We start from the raw sequence: 22,954 nt of genomic DNA, 5'->3' as shown, positions 1-22,954 counted from the left end.
TCTAATAAAGTGAATAAGGCCATGACCTGTGGTTTATATCTGACCATATGGACCCTGTTTATATAAGACCGTGGTTTATATCCAAGCTTTACCACAAAATAGCTCTGTGACTTTGGGCAAACAACTTCATCTCTTTGTGCCTCAGTCTCTTCATTCATGGAAATGGGATTATAAAATCAGTAGCTACCTCAGAGATTTGTTGTAAGAATTAAGTGAAGAAAAGAGCCATGTTTGGTACATTAAAGCAATCAATCAATCGTAGATAATATGAAAGTACTGGACTAACTATATGTCCCTATTGAAACTCCGTAGAACGGGAACTGACTCTAGATATTTTCTCAGGGTTTCTTCCTTGTACTTATACGTTTTGCTCTATAATAAAATATGAATGCCAGGTGTATGCCTCTGAGGCAGCACAGCAGAGTGGACAGAGCATGGGCTTCAGAGTCCAATGCATCTGGGCTAGAATCCTGACTCTGCTTCTTACAATCAGTGTAAGCTTTGGCAGTTACTTCCCACCTGCATGACTCAGTTTACTCATCTGTTTAGCAAAATGGGGATAATAATACACACAAATGAGGTCGTTGTAGGAATGAAATGTGATGTTTATTAAATGCCAAGTATAGCACCTGGCAGAGAAGTAAACACATAGGAAAGTTGACTGGTTGCTCATAAGGAATCTCGTATATCAGTGAGGCCTCTGTTACATACTTGCAATGATTTCTCTGGTAGTAACAATGGAGATCAAGAAGGAAATATTCTTTGAATTGCCTTTTTTATCCAAAGAAATGTAAAAGTAAATCGGACACTACTATTTTCCCCTGGTGGGGGGCCTCAACACGAGGTATTTATTACTATGAGACTTCACTGCTGCATCAGTTAGTAGCTTCTTAATGGCCAAGTCAAAGGAAACCAAAGAAAGTGTTCTATGCCAGCTTGCCATTACACAGAGTGAGAAGAAATGCTGCTTTGCTGTCAATTCTGTTTTATTGGCCCACTTGGACAAGAGGGAAAGCCCCCAACATTTCTTCTTTCTTATCTCTTCTAAAGGCAAGAATAGGGCTTTTGACTTGCTCCAGGGGATATTTTTTCCTCTCTAACTGAAATTCAAGTGAAAGAGTCTTTTTTTTGTTTTTTTGTCTTTGTTTGGTGTTTTTGTAAACCTCTCCCCTATGTTCCTAGCATTGAAATGTAAGCTGCTTTTTCTGGCTGCATGTAGCAGGAGCAGGCTGTCGTCATAGCAATGAAAGGGTGTAGAGAGACTCCTGCTTCATGACCTGCTCTGGGAAATAACTCTTAGTCTGCTTTAAAATCCTTCTTTAGAAATGAAGTCTCCAGTCCTGGCTTGTTTCCTTCCTATTACACAACCAACTTATGTACACCCATTGCAGTAGCTAAATGTTTCCTTTAAAGATTTAGTGAATAGGTATTTTAAAAATCAACAAGAGAGCTGCTAAAACAGTGGCTAGTTTACTGTGGCATACAGGGGAAAAACAACTGGGAAGGCAAAGAAAGAGAAATAGAAATGGCCTCACATGATACACATACTGCAGCAAACCCTGCAATAAATCCATTTTTCAAGTTCCCACTGCTTCCTCCCATCTTCACGATGTGCTATGGTGTAGTGGTTATAGAGGGGAATTCTGGGGCAGACTGCCTGGACTTGAATCCTGGCACTCATACCTTCTAGTTGTTTTAATCTAATCCATTCTGTGCCTCTGTCTTCTCATCTGTGAAATAGATATAATAACAGTCATAAAATTGTCATGGGAATTGAATGAGATTGAGCATGTAAGGCATTTATTACAGTATCTAACCCATGGTAAAGGTTGGCTGCTAAGCTCAGGAGCCTCAGTTTCCCCCACTTGTGAAATGTGGATAACAGCTAATTCATAAGATCATTGTATTTTTTTTTTTTTTGAGACAGAGTCTTGCTCTATTGCCCAGGCTAGAGTGCAGTGACATGACCTCAGCTCACTGCAACCTCCACCACCTGAGTTCAAGTGATTCTTGTGCCTCAGCCTCCTGAGTAGCTGGGACTACAGGCATGTACTACCATGCCTGGCTGATTTTTGTTGTTTTAGTAGAGATGGGGTTTTGTCATGTTGGCCAGGCTGGTCTCAAACTCCAGGCCTCAAGTGATCTGCTTGCCTCAGGCTCCCAAGGTGCTGGGATTACAGGTGTGAGCCACCATGCCAAGATGATCATTGTATGATTAACTAAAATAATGAATGTACATGCTCAATAAGTAGTAGTTATTACAATTCTTTTTCATGGTTTTGTTATTGAAACAGCAAGGTTCCAGTCTAGGTCCTGCTGCTCACTTCGTAGAAAGCCAATCACTGAGACAACAAGTATTGCCAATGAAGAAGGCTTTAATCAGGTGCTGCAGCTGAGGAGATGGGAGCACAGTCTCAAATCCATCTCACTAACTGACTTAAACTAGGGGTTTACATAGCAAGGGAAAAATGTAACAATGTGTAAGAAAATAAGAACTAGGTAGGGGTAAGGAAACAATCATGGTGAATAAGCGGTCAGGCATCTGCTGCAGTGATCTGGTGAGTTTCCATTCTTTTATACTTTTTTAGAAGCCTGAAGGTCCTGTCCTGAGGAAGGAACTTAGATAAAACAAATATAAGTTTCACACTTTAAGACCAGGAGGGTCAACTTCTATGTTTTTCAAAAAGATCTGTCTGTGGGACTATTGGGTAAGTTTCAGTTTGATCTAACTCTGACATGAATGGCCTTTTTGAACTTAGAATTCCCAGTGAGTCAAATATAATGAATAGAGGCCTCAGAATTATCATTGCATAAATGTGAACCATTTGATTTCTACAGGGGGAAAAAAAAGAATTGTGACTTTTTACATTTATAAAGACTCATCTCATCTTGATTAACACCAGGGTAAAAAGTATTAAAACATCTTATCTTTCATTAACTTTTTATTACGTTTCTGTTTCAGTTCCTCCAGTGTTTTCTAGGTCATGCAATTATGAAAATAAGTTAGCATTTTTATCTTACATCTCAAACAACTAATGTATTCAGTGTTCTATCCCATGCAAAATTCCAGAAATGCAGCAAGGAGCAAAACTAGAGAGGGGCTGAGCTCTTGTGGTGCTTACTATGTAGTTATGAAAATGGTCATTAATCAAACCATCACAATAATGAAAACTGCATAGGACCAAACATAAGGTGCCCCCAAATACAATGCCATCTTCATCTTTCTAGTGAGAACATCCTCAACCAAAGTGTTTGGCCAAACAGCATGTACAAATGGGTAATATATTGTAATGTACACTTGGGATATTTAATCTATGGTTCACATACATATTTAATATGTTACTTTAATTTAAATATTTTATACTTATTAACATGACTTTTTCCTTTCTCACATTTCATGAAACAATTTTGTTAAAACTCTTCATACGCATCTTTAACACCAATGTGTATGTTCACTGGATCCACGCTGTAATTATCTAATACAGAGCACATCATCAATCCTTCTGCAAGTTGCTAAACATCTGCTGATGCTGCAAATTTAATCCCCAGGCATTAGTCCTCACTCGTGGTCATGTTCTCCACACTTTCATTACTGACTAGATTGTTTTTCCAGTGCTTTTTAAAGGGCGTATTTAAAAACCACTTGAAACTGTAAGTGTGGCTTTCTAAAACTATGTGATTCCAACTTGCAATAATGAAGTCATACCTCAGGAATAATGACTAAACCTGCTTTAAATATCTTTATCTATTTTTTCATCCATTTTGTCAAGGTGACCTTCCTAAGAATAAAAATAAGCATTGCTTGAGATTTTTTTTTTTTTTGAGACAGAGTCTCATTCTGTCACCCAGGCTGGAGTGCAGTGGTGTGACCTTGGGTCCCTGCAACCTCTACCTCCTGGGCTGGAGCAATTCTTCTGCCTCAGCCTCCTGAGTGGCTAGGATTACAGGTGTGCACCACCACGCCTGGCTAATTTTTTGTACTTTTAGTAGAGACAGGGTTTTGCCATGTTGGCTAGGCTGGTCTTGAACTCCTGACCTCAGGTGATCACCCACCTCGGCCTCCCAGAGTGCTGGGATTACAGGCATGAGCCACTGTGCCCAGCTCTTGAGATGATTTCTAATTGTTTTTTTGAATAGTACTTTGCTGCTCAAAATGAAGAAACTTTGGAAGCACTTGAATATAAGTCAAATCCCTCTTTTTTACGGCAGGATTTGGTGGCGTGAGAAAAAACACATTTTATTTGAACACATGCCATATATAATGATACACTGAAATAAGTGTTATGAAGGCAAAACACCTTTGTTCCAAGAGAGTATATAAGGATCCTGACCTCCACTCAGGATCAATAATGGCTTTCCTTGATCTGAAGTCTGAATAGAGGTTAACTCTGTGTGTGTGCGTGTGTGTGTGTGTGTGTGTGTGTGTGTGTGTGTGTGTGTGTTTGGTGGTGGTGGCTGGGAGGAGCGGGTGCTGGAGAGAGAATTCTGACAGCGTGAACACTTGTGCAAAGACCCTGGAGCAAGAGGGATCGTGGCCTATTTGAGGCACTGAGAGGCAGCCAGCTCCCGAGAGCAAGGGCAGAGCAGTGGAAGATGTAAATCTCCATAATACTCCCTTCCCTGAGCACTAAATGTATGTGCCCTTTGCTTGATTCAGGTTTAATGTATACTTTTAACGTCTGGATGGATTTCTGGTTAGTCTCAAAGCCCCAACAGGCATGACCATGTCTATCCCTAGCTCAGACTCTTATGGTGGTAGGTTCAATTAGGAAGGATGATGGGCAGTTGAAGGTCAGATGCCCAGAAAAGTCTTAAGTCATTGACTCTGAGTATATCATATACACTCACAGGGCTGGGACACCTTGATGTCAGATGGTGACTCAGCAGAGAACTCAAAATAGAAGAACGTCTTTTTCACCCTTCAGATGACTTTAGGGCCAAACCATAGAGCTCTCCCCAGAGACTCATTAATACTTTAAAAGCTCTAAAGCATCAGTGTTAACACTGGATCAGGTAACAGCACGTATATGTTAGCCAAAATATGACTAAGAGATTTGCTCTCTGATAACAAGGCCTTTGACTATTATGTAAAAACAAGGTGAACAGGAACGTTCTGAGTCTGTTTATAAAGTACCTATAATAATTGTTTTGTTTACTACATTTCCCAGAAAGGAAATTTTTCCATAGTTGTAATAATTGCTAAAAATAGCAGTCTACAGGCTTCCTCTGATATAAACAAATTCAACAGAAGATACCTGGCCTTATTTGGATGCATGGATGTACATACTCCAGGAAATGATAGGCCAAGAGTAATAAGAAAAAGAAAGTAACAAGACAAACCTCTCCTTTTTCTAGTACACATGGTATGTCTTTCTTAGTTCATTAAACTTTAGACAAAGTGATAAACAGATCAAGTTGTCATCATCTGCCTTGAAACCCAAAAATATTGAAACAAGTTCCCTAGGCCCAGAAGGGAAGGAAGAGGACTTGTAAATTTTGCTGAGGCTGCCACAGAAGGAGCTAACCACTGGAGGGTTCAGACTGGAGGGTTCAGAAACCAGGGGAATGCTAGGCAACACAAGGAAAATTCAATTAGAAAGACTTGAAGCAATAACTACCAGCACTAAAATTTCCAGGGAGTCACTGATGTGGCCAATATGAAAGAGGAATCCTGTTCCTCCTTTCAGAGGTATGGATGACTGCGTTTACAGTCTGGTTCAGTGTTCAGACAGCTTATTAATGCTTAAGAGAAAAGGAAAGAGAAGGAAGATAGAAAGAAGAAGTACAGCAAGGCAAGAAGTGCCCAGGGGAGCAGGTGTGCTAAGTTGATTTAAGTGGCATGGCAATATACAGAACTTCAAAAATAAAATTTATCTTTTAAAATTTAAATGTAAATTAATGTTCTAAAAAACTATAGGAACTGAAAATAAATCAAATACAAATATCTACTTCGACCTAATCTTACTGTAATTTAAGTTTCTAGGAAATATCATAGAAACTGAAGTGGAACCAATTACAGAAAAAGAATGCAAAATAAACCATAGTACCGAAAATAAAAACATATTCTGGTCGTTTGTGTAGGTTCCCTAATAAATCTAGACGGAGAATGATGTTTTTGTGTTTTAGTGTATGCCAAACTTTAGACACCCTCCTCTTTTCTAGGAGATACAAATTTCAGGAGCGATATTTAGCTATTACACACATAGCTTTTCATCAGAGATGGGGGTAGCTGACACACACATGGCCCATTCTGCCCATACCTTTCAGGTCAATCTCTGATGGCTTGGCTGGGCTGTTTCCAGCTAGCAGAAAGGATATTCAGGCCCCTTTTCCTTGCTTTTCCAGGGACAGAGCTTGTAGAGTGCTGAGAAATCCAATTACAACTTCCTTTCATGGTGAAATCCAATTACAACCTCTCCCATGGTGAAAGCCAATCTTTTTGATACAAAAGGAAACTAAACAAAAGGGCTTCAGGCAGGGGATATGCTTGTGCTCTGCCTTCTCACTTTGACAATTATGCAGGAAGGTTGCAATGACCTTGGCTTGCCTTGCTTAGGAACAAAAGTCATAATCTTCTACCCCCTACTCCCACAAAAAGGAAAAACGTTTTCATATCTGATTCCAGGAGTTTGGGGAGTTTCCTCAAGGATCCATTAGTCAGGCAAAGCAAATTTTGAGCCAACACTTGCTCCCTCCCACACACTTTTTTTTCCGGCAAGATGACTTTTCTTATTGAACTTGGAATGCCATGTTAAATGATAAATAAATTAGTGAATTATTTAGGCCAATATCCTCCCATAATCTGTTCCCAACAACTTTTTTTTTTTTTTTTTTTTGAGACAGTGTCTGGCTCTGTCACCCAGGCTAGAGTACAGTGTGCAGTGGTGCAATCTCGGCTCACTGCAACCTCCGCCTACCCAGCTCAAGTGATTCTCCTGCCTCAGCCTCCTGAGTAGCTGGGACTACAGGCACCTGTCACCACGCCTGGCTAGTTTTTGTATTTTTAGTAGAGATGAGGTTTCACCATGTTGGCTGGGCTGGTCTTGAACTTCTGGCCTCAAGTGATCCACCCACCTCGGCCTCCCAAAGTGCTGGGATTACAGGTGTGAGCCACCGTGCCTGGCCTGTTTCTGCTACCTTTGTGATATCCAATGCTGTGTGTCACCCTTTCAGCCAACCTGTTTGCTTGAGGTTAGTGAGACTGTAGTACTGCTTGGAGAGGGGTCATCCTAAATTCCTAAAACCTGGTTGAGATAAACGGAAACAGTTCTCAAAACAGTAATTTATGAAAATAGATATTTTATGAGTACTTGACACAAGTCTATAATTGCTGAGATATTTAAAAATAAAATTACTAACCACATTCTATTCAAATCTCTGTCACTTCTGTATAATCACTGTACTCCACTGAATGTGTGTAAAATATGTATTTGCAGCTTATAGGGAAAAAAATTTGCAAATTTTCAGAAGAATCATGCAGTCAACTAATAGGTTCTTAGTTGAAGATTAGTGGAGTGGGGAGTGGTAAATGGTTATCTTTTTCAAAACTTAGGACAAACTTTACACTAGGTTCAAATAAAAGTGCTATGGCTACAGAGTTAATGAACCCACCATTCAAAGTGGCCCTAAATAGCTCTGAAAGCAAAGCATTTTTACATTATTTGATTCAACTTGAGTTATCTAATTGCCTATATAATATGATAGGGACCCAGGCCGGACACAATGGCTCATGCCTGTAATCCCAGCACTTTGGGAGGCTGAGTCAGGTGGATCACTTGAGGTCAGGAGTTCAAGACCAGCCTGACCAACATGGTGAAAACCCGTCTCTACTAAAAAATATAAAAATTAGCCGGGCGTGGTTGTGTGCACCTGTAGTCTCAGCTACTCAGGAGGTTGAGGCAGAAGAATTGCTTGAACCCGGGAGGCGGAGGTTGCAGTGAGTAGAGATCAGCCACTGTACTCCAGCCTGGGCAACAGAGCAAGACTCCATCTCAGAAAAAAAAAAAAAGATAGGGACTTGATAGGAAGGTACCCTGAGATATACAAAAATCAGAAGAATTGACCTTTATGATAGGTAAATAAAACATGTAAATGGTTTCATGACGTGTTTGGTCAGATGTTCATGCTGTCTTAGCTCATTGAAATCATTTTTAACTTTCAAGCCATTAGTTCAGTGGATCCTCCCAACCTTTTACTGGGGACCAAACAATTTTGAGCTAATTCTCTCTAAATCAAGGGAGTATTCTATTAGAATTCAGAAGAAACAAAGCACAAATTCTTAACCCTAAGTGTCTTCTTTTTCTCTCTTTTTCTTCCCTGTTGCCCAACTCCAGCTAATGGGTTTTAAGGACTTTATAATGAGAAGCAGGTTAATGTCTTACTAGAAAAACTTTTCAATAATTTCCTAAAATATGGGGAGAAGAAAATAGTGGAAGATGTTGTTATAAAATAGAAAAATGCTTGGTTGAAACCTTGGTACTCGTATTGATCTTGTACTCATTAGCTTTTTGGATAGGCATAGGCGGGGAAGAGAAGTATCAGCATCATCTCACTGATAAAAACAGCTGATGTCTTCTTACAGTCTGAAAATGAAGCCATTGATTTCAAAAGCAAATGTTTTATTATACTTTGAAAAACACTCTGGATTGGATCATTCAAGGTTATGATAGCCTGAGATAACTGCAGCCTCAAACTCCCGGGCTCAAGCAATCCTCCTGCCTCAGCCTCCTCAGTAGCTGGGACTACAGGCACGAGCCATTAAGCCTGGCTTGAGGGGAAAAGTCTTTTCCCATGGTGGGAGGAGAAGAATTAACAGCTGTGGACCAGCTGTGGGCAAGCTGTGTCTTTTCCTTGCTTGAAGGCATCTTCTTAACATTTTCTCTCTGAAGGCATAAATAAGCTTCCAGGTTTTCACCCTATTTTCAAAGAACTTTTCAAACTCTAGCCTTAAAATCCATTAGGGTTTATTACATCTGCTTCTTTCAGAAAAGGTAGATAATAAGTAACTTTGCACCACTGAGGTAAGCAAGCAATTGTTTCCCATATTAAATGTGTTGGCCCTCACCAAGGTACATGAGAAGCTTGGACCACGATCTGAATCCTAAAGGGACTTCTGCTGGGACTGAATGCTTGCATTAGCGGTTCACACAAGAACTAAATGCTCATCAAAGTACACCATTATTCCCCAGAAGGTCCCAACACCATGAGAATGAGGCTACTTGGAACTGTTCTTTGGTATTATTTGTTGTTTTTCTTAATCCTAGAAGAGAACTACCCCCCAATAAATAATTCTTGGTCCATTCACAGAGCTGAAAGCACTTGAAATTCCTCTCCCAACTAGCAGAATTTAACAACTGACTTACTCTGTTAGCAAAAGAGAGGCAATTTCCACTGAATCCAAAGGAGTTTTATATTATACTGGTAGAGTTTAACTAATAAGGGAAATTCAAATAAGAGCAGTCAGAGGATAAAGCCAAGAACTAGGCATTCAGGGGAAAGAAATTACAGGGGTAGTAGAGAAACAAATAAATTAAGGGGTAGGGAGAAGAGTTAAAGGCAGAAAAAGCAGAGGATTAATCTATCTGATAATTACAGGGGCTAGGCTTTAAAAGGTGTATTGTCTTACTATTAACAACATGAAGCCAATCATTCAGATATTATTAAGTTACTGCAACGTCACAAACGCCAGGACTTTAGGTGAGCCATCCTAAGAGCAGATTCAGGGTTTGTGAAGCCAAGAGTTTATACATATGTTTGGAACCTTCTTTTTTAAAAATATAAAAGTCAAAATCAAGTCTAGAACTTTGTATGGAGGCTGCACAAGTGAGGGGCCTTGAAACTCAAGCTTCCTAGTTTTATGGCACGTCTATCCTGGCCATATTCAAATGTCTATACCCCAAATACAACAAAAAGTTCAGAAAAATAAATAAATGTAAATATGAGAAAATCCTGTGTTCTCTTTCTCTGAGAAAGAGAAAATAGTAGCACAGATACCATAGTAGGACTTGAGCAAAGAAAAATAAATATGGCCAAAATAATGTCTCCCACTATAACACAGGACAGGGTGTGGTGGACCCTTTCTGAAGGATTGGCAAATGTCTGAGAAAAAGAACAGGCAACTGTCTCCCTGGATGGATCCATCCCATCTGGAGCTCTGGAATGAGACACAGTGAGATTAGTGAGTGGTATGATAAGACGAGAAACTCTGAAAGGCATGATTAAGAGATGGTGAAAGGTGGCTATTGCACAAGCTTGGGTAAGATAAGCCTGGGGGATCCTCTAAATATAATTAAAGTAATCCCTCAATTACACATTATAGAAAAGGAGGAATGGACTAGTTTCGCCTGAGCAAGAAAGAAACAGACCTTTAAGAATGTGTCTGAAAAGCTGTGCCTCCGGGTGCCCTTTGGCTTCCATGCTCCTCACTGCTGACCAGGCACAGTGGCAAAGAGGGATGGTCAGGAAGCACTCACTGAATGGTAGTTCTGTGAAATGGAGGTGAGGGTCACAGATGGGAGTGCATGGATGGTACACAGGTGAAGTGCTTAGCATAGAACCTGGCATATAGTAAAATCTCAGGAATGTATATGCCATTGAATGAGCTACTATTAAATGGTCTAAGACAAAAATGTACTTTTTCAATAAAATAATACTTTGATGACCATAAGTGATTCTACTACTGAGTACATTTGAGTGCTATTCCACACAAAAATATTTAATGTTTACAGCCAATTATATATGGCTTCTTACAAACTCAGTGACTCAAAGCAACTGTTTCATAATGTCTCGAGATCTGGTGGGTCAGAAATTTGGGCAGGCCTCTCAGAGGTACTCAGCTAGGAGATGAGCTGATCTGGAGTGGCACAGGATCTCTCCACTCACGTGTCCTGCGCATTTGCAAGGACAGATGCAAAGCTGGGATTGGTAGAACTGTTGAAGTGTCTTCTGTGACATGACAGACTCAGAAAATGGCTCAAGGCTCCCAAAATGAGTTTTCCAGGAGATTAGGTAAAAGTTCCAAGGTTTCTTATGACCTAGCCTCAGAAGTCCCAGAACATCATTTCTATCTCAATCAATTGGCCAAGTAAGTCACTAAACCCAGTCCAGATTCAAGGGAAGGAGAATTAGACTCCACCTCTCAACAGGAGAAATAGCAAAGAATTTATAGCAATCTCTACCATAATATTTATACCTATTAAATAAGAAATGTAAGAAATTGTCTCAAGGCAGTTACTCATGTGAGTTAGAATAGAGTTGACATTTGTGGGTGTTTGGCTCTTAATGGGAGACCTATTTCTGCCATGACAAATGATTCCTCTGGAGATTTGTTTTAATGGTACATGGGTCAGCCAATAGAAAAACTCTAGGCATTTGAAATTCAAATGCTGGATGTTCTCTATAAAATGCTGTCTAGCTATCATCTTTTAAAATTCCAGCTGAGGTTCTCCTGAAAGTTTGGTAATGAGACACCCTGTTCCTAACAGAAGGAAAGGGCTCTCCTTCCAGTTACCTATCATCCCTCATCTTTAACCTCTCTAAATCCATAAAAAGAAACAGTGGGATGAAGAAAAGAAAGAAATAACCTAAGGACTCTAGTAAAGGGATGAATTAAAGTGTCTGAATTATTCATTATTGGGGTTATTAAGCCATTTTCTGCCTTATGCATGTTTCAAAGATATGATAACATCTTTCATTTCATTTTTACAGTTGGTGAAATTACCAAATAACTATAGGATCACATTTGAATCTCAAAACAACTCCAGAAGATAGATAAGAAAATGTAATATTACCTTTCCTGTTTTGTAGATGAAGAAACCAGTGACTTGATCAAAGTCTCTTAGCTGGTAAAAGGCAGTTCAAGTCTGGAACTTAGATCTTCCAGTTCCGTACCAACTGTCCTTTAAACTATGCAGCTGCCTTTGAATAAGCTCACGCATTTGAGCAAAATAATATTGATTTAGTTTCACATCAATACTGCATATTTAAGTCTTTGAGAATAATAATTCTGTGAATTCCAAAATTTGTCTCATTTTTGCATTTTTCATCTGGAGTTTTATTTTCTATTTCTGCAAAAATAATCTGTATTTTGTAGTCAGTGCACACCAAACTCGAATGTCTCAAAATAAATGACTTTTTACTCATCCAAGAATAAATGGTATTCATCATACTTAGCAAGGACATCATGGTTTTGATTTTTCAAAGTACTTTGCAAGCATCAGCTAATTAAGCCTCCCTGAGTCTTCAGTATGACAGTTGTTTTCAAAATATCTCTCATTTCCCAGGAAAGTTCTCCATTCTGTCTTATTTATACAATCAGCACATTTGCTCAGTTCTTAAAATAAGAAGCTAAAGGCCATGAAATTATTTTTGATCAATATGTGGCAAATACAATTAGCTCAGTGAGACAAAAATGCCCAGTGACTAGTCTAAAGGACAACGTGGAACACAATGGAAGAACACAAGGCGTTTTAAAGTCTAGATACTGGATTGTCCCACAAGGTCCTTCAAAAATAAAACACAGGCATCTTCTTTATAATTGAAACTTGAAGGGGTTTCCTGCTTGGATCATTCTAAATGACATGACCATACTCTGCGTTTAAATTTTGTTTTCAATTACAGGATGGAAAAAAACTCTTAAAAAATAGTTCCATCTTTGGACTCAGTAAAAATCAGGGACCATTCAGTAAATGTTGGCTCTCAAAAAGCCTGCACAAGTGGCCATCTGAGGTTATATGACAATCCCTAGACTTGTTCTATGCCTTAAAATATCTTCCATACAGCTACGCCAGGATTCTCAGCATTCGATAGCTCTTTTTGGGTTAAGAACAATGTGAACATACCTCTTACCTGAGAATAGAAATACATTAATTCAGGAATAATCTTTTTTCTTTTTTTTGAGATGGAGTCTCACTCTATTGCTGGAGTGCAGTGGCTCAATCTTGGCTCACTGCAACCTCCACCTCCTGGGTTCAAGAAATTCTCCTGCCTCAGCCTCCCAAGTAGCTGGGATTACAGGCTCATGCCACCACGCCCAGCTAGTTTTTGTGTTTTCAGTAGAGACGGGGTTTCACCATGTTGGACAGGCTGGTCTCGAACTCCTGACCTCAAGTGATCTGCCTGCCTCAGCCTCCCAAAGTGGTGGGATTACAGGCATGAGCCACAATGCCCAGCCCTAATTCAGGAATATTCCTATTTCCTCGGTATGGTTTAGATGCATGCAAAAAACAAAGATTTAAAAGTATAGAATATAGGATAGGTGAGTTTGTGTTTAATGAGTGAACTAAAAGTAAATATGTTCTGGAACTAGCTCCTGGGAAGCTTGAAATCCCCTAGGGGAGGAAGATACGGAAAAGGGGAGGAGAAACACTAAGGTTCTTTTCCCTTATATCACACTTAATACAAGACATATGTAGTTAATACAAGATATAAATGACTCTAATGATATTACTGATGACAGGCAGCAGGCAGAACAATGAAAATAATAATCATTTGCATGTGTAAGGTACTTCAGAGTTTGCAAAGAGCTTCCTCACCTCACCTTGCAAGGAGCTACCTTTGACATCGGAAGGAACTGGTATTCCCATCCTATATATGAAGTTTGGAGAGAGAAAGTAATTTGTTCAAGGTAGTATTTAGTACTTGGCAAAGCCAGGGCCCAAAGCCAGAACTTCTGGCTTCTAGTCTGTAGCCTGTTCACTAGTCTGTTTGGGGAGAATATTGGATACTGAGTCCAAAGCTCAGCGTTTCTAATTCTTGCCCACCTCTTAAGCCTTGTACATTTGGCCAAATAATTTAGACTCTTCAAATTTCTGTTTCTTTACATTTAAAAATTCTGTCCCTCCTTTCTTCATTGAATCAAATGAGACAGTATATAAGAAAACACTTTATAAACTGTGAAATGCTAAATAAATACAAGGAATGTATAACTAAATCCATCTTAATAAGTTAATATTCCTTGGAACCCTGCCTCAAGACATCCTTACAGTTAAACTTTCCTCCCTTTTGTGTTAAAGAATAAAGAGTTCCTCCTTCTCTTTGGAGTTAAACCTTTCACATGTGCTTTAATAGTAGACCAGTAAATATGTATCCAGGATTTACCAAGATGGTATTGTCTCACTTAATCTTCATACTATTTTATAGACAATGAGCTGAAGCCCCCAAAAGCTACACAATTTGCTTATTTACGCAAATTAAGTATTACAGCCTATGACATCCTGTTTCAGAACTTATGCCTTTAATTGTTATGAAATATTGTCTTGCTAATGGTTTTGGCAACTGGTCTGTTTTGCCTTATTTTGGTTTTCGGTTGCTGTAAAACAGTATGCTCTCACATTAAATGGCTTAAAATCACATCCCTGTATTTGCTCATAATTCTCCAATCTGGATTGGGCTCCACTGCATGATTCTTCTGCTGATTTTGTCTGGAGTTAATTCATCTGGCTTCAGTGAGCTAGGAACACATCTGGGGCTGAATCATCCAGGAGGGTCTGTTATCCTGCAAGGTTCCAGCCACATGGTCTCTCATCATTCAATAGTCTGGGTCAAGCTTTTGTACAGCATGGCTGATAGCTTCCACCAAGAGGAAAAACTCCAATGTGCAAAGGTTTACCAAGTTTCTGCTGGCATCATGCTTGCTAATGTCACATTGGTCAAAGCAAATCACAAGGTTAAGGCCCACATCATAGGGAAATGAAGCCCAGAAGTTGTGGTTTACTGGGGGTCATCATTGTTTACCATTATCTCCTCTCTTACCCTTTATCTTCAATTTTTCCTTATTTACCTGTCTTTTCCCTTCAGCACAGAAGGGAAATCTGGGGCCGGGCATGGTGGCTCATGCCTGTAATCCCAGTACTTCCAGGGGGCTGAGGCAGGTGGATCACCTGAGGTCAGGAGTTTGAGACCAGCCTGACCAACATGGTGAAACCCCCATCTCTACTAAAAATACAAAAAAATTAGCTGGGTTTGGTGGCGCATGCCTATAATCCCAGCTACTCAGGAGGCTGAGGCACGAGAATTGCTTGAACCCTGGAGGTGGAGGTTGCAGTGAGCCTAGATCACGCCACTGCACTCCAGCCTGGAAAACAGAGTGAGACTCTGTCTCAAAAAAAAAAAAAAAGAGAAAGAAAGAGGAAAGGAAAGGAAAGGAATCTGAATGATCACATTCAAATACAAATATAAATTTCCTGTAACTGCATATTCCCTTTAAGCTACCACGTTACTCTCCTTTGCACAGCCAATCATTTTTAGAGTGGTCTACACTCACTGCCCTCACTTCATCACTGCCTGTTCATTCTCCAATCACTGCAGGCTGGCATCCACCGACACCACAGCAACAAAACTGCTCTCCCTGAGATCCTCAATAACCTCTGCACTTCCAGAGGCAATGGATAATTTCCTGACCTTGTTTGCTTTGAACTCTCTGTGACATTTAACACTTCCCTTTTCTCATGTGACTCTTCTTTCTCTCACTGTTTGTATCTTTAGCTCTTCCCATCCTCTGATGGTGCCTAATGATCTTCACTCCCCAGGGTTCTGGCTCCAGCTCTCTGCTCAACTGGTTGAATAACTGCTCATGCTACAGCATGCAAGCTACATCTGTAACCCCAAACTCCATGCTTACCTCCAGACCTATCTACCCAAGTATCTACTAGATATCTCTACTCAAATTCAACAAGCCCAAAACTAATCCACCGTCTGTCTTCTAAAACCAAACCTTCCTCCTATAATCCTTCACCTTGGTAATTAATACCACCATTTACTAAGTTGTTCATATGAGAAATGTGACTCAAGACTTTTCCTTCTCATATTCCTACAATATCTAATTCGTCATTAAGTTTTATCTGTTCTTTTTTTAATTATTTCTTAGAACTATCCAGTTGTGTTTTGGTAAATGAGCAACCCATTCTCTGAGAGAGGGAGAGGTGGGTGACACTTGATGGTTTTCATGGTGTGACTGATCCTCCCACCACAACTGATTTTGATGCAGGATATTTTCTTGACCCCTTCACGGAACTCGCGGCAGGGGTGCCTTGTTTACTCAGCCCGCCCTGCTCAATCCCTTGCAGGAGGGAGTGCGCAAGCGAATGACTGCAGGAACCTGAGCGAGCGAAGGCAGGAACTGGCCACTTTGGCACCAGCAGGAGCAAACTCCATGTGGGCCCCTCACCAGCGTCCAGGTGTGGGCACCAGCCACGCCAAGCCCCAGAGGGCGTGTAACCATACTCTTAGCTCCACCGTCCGCAGACAGCAGTGTGTTATCAGCTCAGTGAGCCCTTTGCCTCATCACGTAGGGCAACTGCCTTCCGCCAGCAAGGGCAAAGGGCCAGTGCGACCGCCTTTTTGGATACCTGCACGTAGTGTGTCCGAGTTCTTGTCCAGTGCCCAAGAGGAATGAGGTCACACAGATGAATTGAAGGATGGCGAATGTGGAGAATTTTTTTTTTCAGTGACGAAAGCGGCTCTCAGTGGAGAGGTGAGCTGGAAAGGGAATGGGAAGGGAAGATCCCTCTCCTCTGAAGTCAAGCCACCTCTCTCCTATGTCCAGGCGCTTCTTCTCGACATCAGGCTGCTTCTTCCCTCTGCTGGCTGAGTTCTGGGGTCTTTATGGGCACAGGATGGGGACGGGGCAGGCCGTAGGTAGTTTTGGAAAAGGCAATATTCAATTGGTAAAAAGACAGTATTCAGAAATAACCAATCGGGAGAGAATGGAAGTTCTCACTTTGGGCTGTGGGTTTCAGGCTTTTCGGCTTGAAGGTGGGATTTTGCCAGCGACCCGCCCCTGTATGCCTACAGTTTCTCTGCCTCCTGTTGCTATCAATTTTAAGCTACCAACATGACGCCACTGAACAGAATCGGGAAGAGACATGCGGAACACATATTATATAGTATTTCCACCAACAGATATAATAGATGTAAATAACCTCAAAAGAGTAGATAATAGTAAAATAATTATGAAGTGATGAGTTTCTACTATTTTCTTTGCTTTTAACATAATTAAATTATACATGTATGTAATTTAATTTTTAATTGATGACTTTAACAACCAACTCAAAAAAGTCTTGAAATGTAACAAACAGCTCTCACAAACCAGTACAGGTTGGATCTATCCCTCTTTTCTCCACTCCTAAGACCACAGCCCAAATGTAAGGCTCTGACCACCTCACCTTGATGTTACAATTGTCTCTCACAGGTCATGCTACTGGTCTGTCCTCCACACAGCTGTCACACATACAAATCTGGTTATATCATCACCCCTGTCCACACATGTGTGCACACACACAGACATACACACATGCGTGCACACACAGACACTTACAATAATTCTTTGGGTCCCTATAGCTCTATGGCTGGAATTTTTAATTCCTTGTTTAATGCACTATGACTTTTACAATATGGCTATCTGCTTACTTTTGAGCCTTATCTACCCCAGCCCACTTCCCCTATTGACAGCCTAGAGACCCAAATATTAACATCCTAGAGACTCGATGCTTCTGCAACTTCACCCATGCTGCTGCCTGCCACCCTCTAGAGTACATCTAGCTGTGTGAGAACATCCTTCATACAGCTAACTACTGTTTATTAGTTTTCAAACCTCAGATCAAGAATTACCTTCTCTGGAGGTCATCTCTATACAGTAGTTAAGAACACTGTAGTTAAGAACACAGACAGACCTGATATCAAACAGAAGTGTTAAATATCTGCTGTGCCACTTCCTAGCTGTGTAACCCTGAACAAGTTACTTAATCTTTATGCCCGAGTTTCCTTACTAGTGAAATGATTACAATAATGTGCTTACCTGATAGAACTGTTCAGAAGGTTTAAAGAATATGTGTGTGCAAAGCTCTTAGAATAGTGCCTAGAACTTAAGTACTTTGGATGTAGTAAAGTTAGCTATTATCAACTACCTAATTTAAAAATGCCTCCTATCTCTCTTTCCATTGCATTATGTACATAATCATCACATTACACTATATGATTTTATATAAATATATTATATATTTATAGATACATTATTAGTATATACATATATAGATACGTGTATATAATACATATATAGATACATGTATATAAGTATATAGATTATATATGTACACATATAGTATACATTTAGCCCTCAACCTGTGGGATCTGACACTATCTCCAGGTGCACATACATAGTATATACACATATGTATACTATATATATATATATATACTTATATACATGTATCTATATATGTATATATTTATCTATATACGTATCTACATTACATACATATATGTATCTATACACACACACACACACACACACACACACACACATATGTTTCATCCACGGTTCCTGTCTCATAATTCCCATAGACCTTTTTATAATGTTATAATGTTGGTGCATTTTAGGCCTCATAAGCGGACCTCAGAATAACAGGATTTCTCTCTCTCTAATCTTCTATTTTTTTACCTGCTACTTTTTCTCCCCAAGGCAGGACTCTAATCTTCCTCTGCCTTTACCTACCTTGTGTGATTGTAGGTCATAAGACCCCCATTTCAGAAGGGGTTCTGCCCCATATTCTGGAGGAAGGAATGTTGCATGGAGAGGCCAAGAAGAGGCCCAGCACAGTGATCCATGTCTGTAATCTCAGCACTTTTGGAGGCCAAGATGGGACAATCGTTTGAGCCCAGGAGTTCAAGACCATCCTGGGCAACATAGGAAGATCCTGTCTCTACAGAAAAAAAAAAAATTAATTACCCAAGTGTGGTGGCAATCACCTGTAACCTCAACTACTTGGGAGGTTGAGGTGGGAGCATGCTTGGGCCCAGGAGGTCAAAATCACGCCACTGCACTCCAGCCTCACAGTCAGAGTGAGACCCACCTCAAAGGAAAAAAAAAAGAGGCCAAAAAGAATCTGAACAGATGGGCCTTACCGGGTTTCCCCACTCAGCCTTTGAGTACTAAAGCATACCCTTTTTGTCTAAACACATTTCTATGTGGTTGTCAATGGTGCCTATCCTTTCATGAAGTCTCCATAAAAGGCCCAAGGGGACGAGGTTTGAAGAAATTACAAGATAACTGAACCTATGGAGGTTCCTAGAGGGTGTGTTCCGGGGAGGGCTTGGCAGCTCTGTGCCCCTTCCCCCATACCTCACCCTTTGCATCTCTTCACTTGTATCTTTTTGTAATATCCTTTATTATAAACCAGTAAATCTAAGTAGGTGTTTCCCTGAGTTCTGTGATGCACTCTAGCAAATTAATCGAACCCCAAGAGGGAGTCATGGAAGCCCAACTTGAAACCAGTCAGCCAGAAGTTCTGGAGGCCTGATCTTGTGACTGGTATCTGGGAAAGGGAAGATGTCTTGTGAGACTGAGCCCTCAACCTATGGGATCTGACGCTATCTCCAGGTACACAGTGTCAGAATTCATTTGGAGGACACTCAGCTGGTGCCTGCTGCAGAGTTGATTGCTTGCATGTTGATGACAAAAAATCTCCCACATTTGGTCACAGAAGTCTTCTGTGTTGATTGTAGCGTGGTGTGAGACCACAGGAAAAGCAGTTAGAGATTTTCCACACCCAGAAACTCTTAAGAGAGAAACTATGTGTCCTTGTGCTTAGGCAGTGTCTAGTAAGTACTCAATGAATGAATTTAAAAAAAATGGATTAGTGATGCAAGTTCTGGCCAACTGGACATTCTTTCCTTTTGATTCATTCAGCTACATTTAGATTTAGGGAAATGAAGGGAACTTGTGAGATCATGTGAGATCATGCGGACAGATTAAAAGGGAAATATTTTCTCAAATTTAATTAGTTATGCATGTTGCTGCAACAAACAAAAAGAAATGAGCCTTATGATGCAAAACACGTTTGATAATTCTTACTCCCCTTTTAAGTTGTACCATTTGTAAGAAAATAGGGTAGCATTCCATGTGCCTAATTCCACTGTTATGTGTGATGAATGTCGGAAATACTCCTGGCATTAAAAGGAGCCTAAATGTGTGGCCAGAATGGACTTTAATGTTCCACTGGACAATTTTTCTGACCTCACAGCAAAACTTAAATTACATTATTTTCTGAGAATCTAAGTTGTTTATTCAAGAATCACAACTTAACTTATCAGGAAGATGAGAGAAAAAAGAATTAAAATTTATTGAGCATCTCCTAGGTATCAGGCATTTTTACCAGTACCATTTCTTCTAACTCTCACAAAACTGAATTAGATGTTTTATTAGTCAAGGTTCTCCAGAGAAACAGAACAAATAGGAGATAGGTAGGTAGGTAGGTAGGTAGATAGATAGATAGATAGATAGATAGATAGATAGATAGATAGATGATAGATAGATAGAGATATAGATAATGAGGACTTAGTTTACATTAATGGAGCCAGTCCCAAGATCTGCAGTCAGCAAATTGGAAAGCCAAGAGAGCCAATTGTATAGTTCCCGTTCAAGTCTGAAGACCTGAGAACCAATGATGTTGAGTTCTAGTCCAAGTCTGAAGGCCTAAGAATTGGAGGGCTGATGGTGTTAAGTCCCAATCCAACAGCAGAATATCAATGTCCCAACTCAAACAGATAGGCAGAGAGAGAGAGGGAATTCTCCCTTCCCCTGCCTTTTTGTTCTATTCAGGTCCCCAGTGGATTGAATTATGCCCACTCACATTGGGTAGAGCAATCTGCTTTATTCTGTCTACCAATTCAAATGTTAATTTCTTCAGAACACACCCTCAGAGACACACCCAGGAATAATGTCTAAGTAGATATCTGGGCATCCCATGGTCTAGTCAAGTTGACATATAAAATTAACCATCACAGATGTTATCCCCATTTTTAGATGGGGAATCTGAGGCTTAGAGGGCTAAGTAACTTGCCAAAGATCATATAGATGGCAAATGTTGCTCCAGAGTTCAAATGCATGTCTCTCTAATCTGAAAGCACCAGTCTGCTTCCGCTAAACCAATGGTTCTCAATCAGGGCGATTTTGCCCCCCATGGAACATTTGGCAATGTCTGGAGACATTTTTGTTTGTCCCTAGCTGGTGGGGGATGGGGGCTCGCTACTGACATCTAATGGGCAGAGGACAGGAATGCTGCTAAGCATCCTACAAGGCACAGGACAGCCCCCCACAACAAAGAATCATCAAGCCAAAATGTTAACAGTGCCAAGATAAAGAAACCCTTCACTAAACCATACTATTTTGTATTTCTATAGTTTTCAAAACCAGTAGAATAGTAATAACATACTGATCTAAAATATAAGGCTAGGCACAGTGGCTCATCCCTGTAATCCCAGTACTTTAGGAGGCTGAGGTAGGAGGAATGCTTGAAGCCAGAAGTTTGAGACCAGCCTGGGCAACATGGAAAGACCCCATCTCTACAAAAAAAAAAAAAAACAATTAGCTGAGCATAATAGTTTGCACCTATATCCCCAGCTACTTGAGAGTCTGAGGCAGGAGGATCACCTGAGCCCAGGAACTGGAGGCTGCAGTGAGCTATGATTGCAATTACACTCCAGCCTGAGCAACAGAGCAAGACCCTGTCTCAAAAATAAAAATAAATAAATAAAATAAAATATAAGTGACTATAGTTCCATAACTCTAATAAATATTTGTGGAATAAATGAATAAATAAGTAAACATTGAATTTAAAATGTAGAGGAAAGAAACTGCGTTTTTCAATGATTCTTTACAATTAGCATTCACTAGGAGGATAGAATGTTTTAAATTATCATCGCTAATAGAGTCCACATATTTACTTTAAGCATGAATTACCATATATAAAATATTTTATTTTAATACAATAAAAATCATGGAATATATTTTAGTGGGTTTAGTAGTTTAAGGGGAAAAGATAGCAGCAATTTAGGATTCATACAATTAATGGAATTATTTTCAATTTTAGAATCCTAAAATATTAGGGTTAGAGGATCATCTAGGTCTCACTCTTCATTGTTCATCACTTGAGAAAACTGTATCTAAGAAAGGGCAAGTGACTTTCCCAAGGTCTCCTGGCAGTCAGGGACACTGCTAGAGCCAGAATCCAGCTCTCCTGACAGTTTAATGCTTTTCTTGTTTTAAGGTGTTTTTCAATGTATTAGAGTTTTGGGGCAGCGGGGGGAGGTTGCTCCATGTTTTTACTTAAATACATTTTTCTTTCATGGAAAATTGAATTCCTATGCTTTTTGCCTTGTTTAGGCCATAAGATGTTTTATTGAAAGAAACTTTCAATATCAAGTAATCCAACCAACCTTCTAAGATAAGCCTTTTCCTTCAACACAAAGAAGTGCATTTTGCCAAGTACGTACCATCTTACTCCTTAAAATGTTTGGAACTTTTTGTTTAAAAACTCAAACTCAAAGTGAAATCTCAATTTGTCACAATGGTGGTTTTTTTGTTTGTTTTGGGATTTTTTTAGTTTTTGTCCCCCTTCCTTACACCTTTGTGTAAGAGGTAAAATGGAGAATTTGCAAAATAACTAGAAAAAAGCTGGAGTGGGAGCCAGGAAATCTAGCTTCAATCCCAGCTCCCCTTCTACAGAGCTCAGTGATCTCCAGCATGTCACACTGTAGGCTTTCTAGGCCTGTTCTTCATCTGCCACATCCTGGGGTTGTTGTAAAGATCAAATAAGGTAATATCCCATTTGTAAATTTATTTGGTAAACCCAAAGCACTATGGCAATAGAAATGTCAAGTATATTTTATATGCCATTACCCGTTCTAAATAAAGTAAACACCCATTCCATTGTTAATATTCTAAATTTCTCCTTGTTATATGTAGTCATTTTCAGAAGGATCACTTAGAAGAATTATACTTGAGTCTCCAAGTACATGTCCTTTTCATTAAAACTGGGAATTGATTAGTCCAGACTAGTAAGGTTATAAATGATTTAAGTTTCTCCCCACACCCCTGATTCAACCCTCCCACCCCCACCCCACCACACACACACACACACACACACACACACACACACACACACACACACAATACCAA

General features: G+C 39.9%; 1 protein-coding gene and 1 long non-coding RNA gene across 5 annotated transcripts in view, besides 2 other annotated features; one reads left to right on the top strand and one right to left on the bottom strand.

Moving 5' to 3' along the window:
* SPARCL1 (SPARC like 1) overlaps positions 1-22,954 on the top strand; it is a 56,042-nt gene that overhangs the window by 2,294 nt on the left and 30,794 nt on the right. Inside the window, exon 2 of one of the 4 annotated variants that reach the window (NM_001128310.3) lies at positions 22,160-22,261. The exons of 2 other annotated variants lie outside the window; for them this stretch is intronic. The gene's annotated coding sequence lies outside the window, so the exon portion shown is untranslated. Of the gene's footprint in view, positions 1-10,790; positions 10,796-22,159; positions 22,262-22,954 lie in introns of all 4 variants that reach the window. One more of the 4 variants, NM_001291977.2, reaches the window with a different exon arrangement.
* Positions 588-6,862, bottom strand: LOC124900729 (uncharacterized). The gene is made up of 2 exons (XR_007058171.1): positions 6,261-6,862; positions 588-1,730 (listed from the first exon to the last, which is right to left on the bottom strand). It is a non-coding gene; the product is annotated as an uncharacterized LOC124900729 (long non-coding RNA).
* Positions 6,167-6,668: an enhancer, noted in NCBI's record as "NANOG hESC enhancer chr4:88441567-88442068 (GRCh37/hg19 assembly coordinates)". NCBI's record gives its function as "activates a minimal SCP1, AML or CMV promoter by ChIP-STARR-seq in naive H9 embryonic stem cells {active_cell/tissue: H9 hESC(naive)}" and the evidence as "EXISTENCE:reporter gene assay evidence [ECO:0000049][PMID:30033119]".
* Positions 15,698-16,198: an enhancer, noted in NCBI's record as "H3K4me1 hESC enhancer chr4:88432037-88432537 (GRCh37/hg19 assembly coordinates)". NCBI's record gives its function as "activates a minimal SCP1, AML or CMV promoter by ChIP-STARR-seq in primed H9 embryonic stem cells {active_cell/tissue: H9 hESC(primed)}" and the evidence as "EXISTENCE:reporter gene assay evidence [ECO:0000049][PMID:30033119]".

Source organism: Homo sapiens, chromosome 4 (genome assembly GCF_000001405.40).
Source record: "Homo sapiens chromosome 4, GRCh38.p14 Primary Assembly".
Classification (NCBI taxonomy): domain Eukaryota; kingdom Metazoa; phylum Chordata; class Mammalia; order Primates; family Hominidae; genus Homo; species Homo sapiens.
Note: the sequence above shows the minus strand (reverse complement) of the source record. Positions and strands in the feature narration are given on the sequence as shown.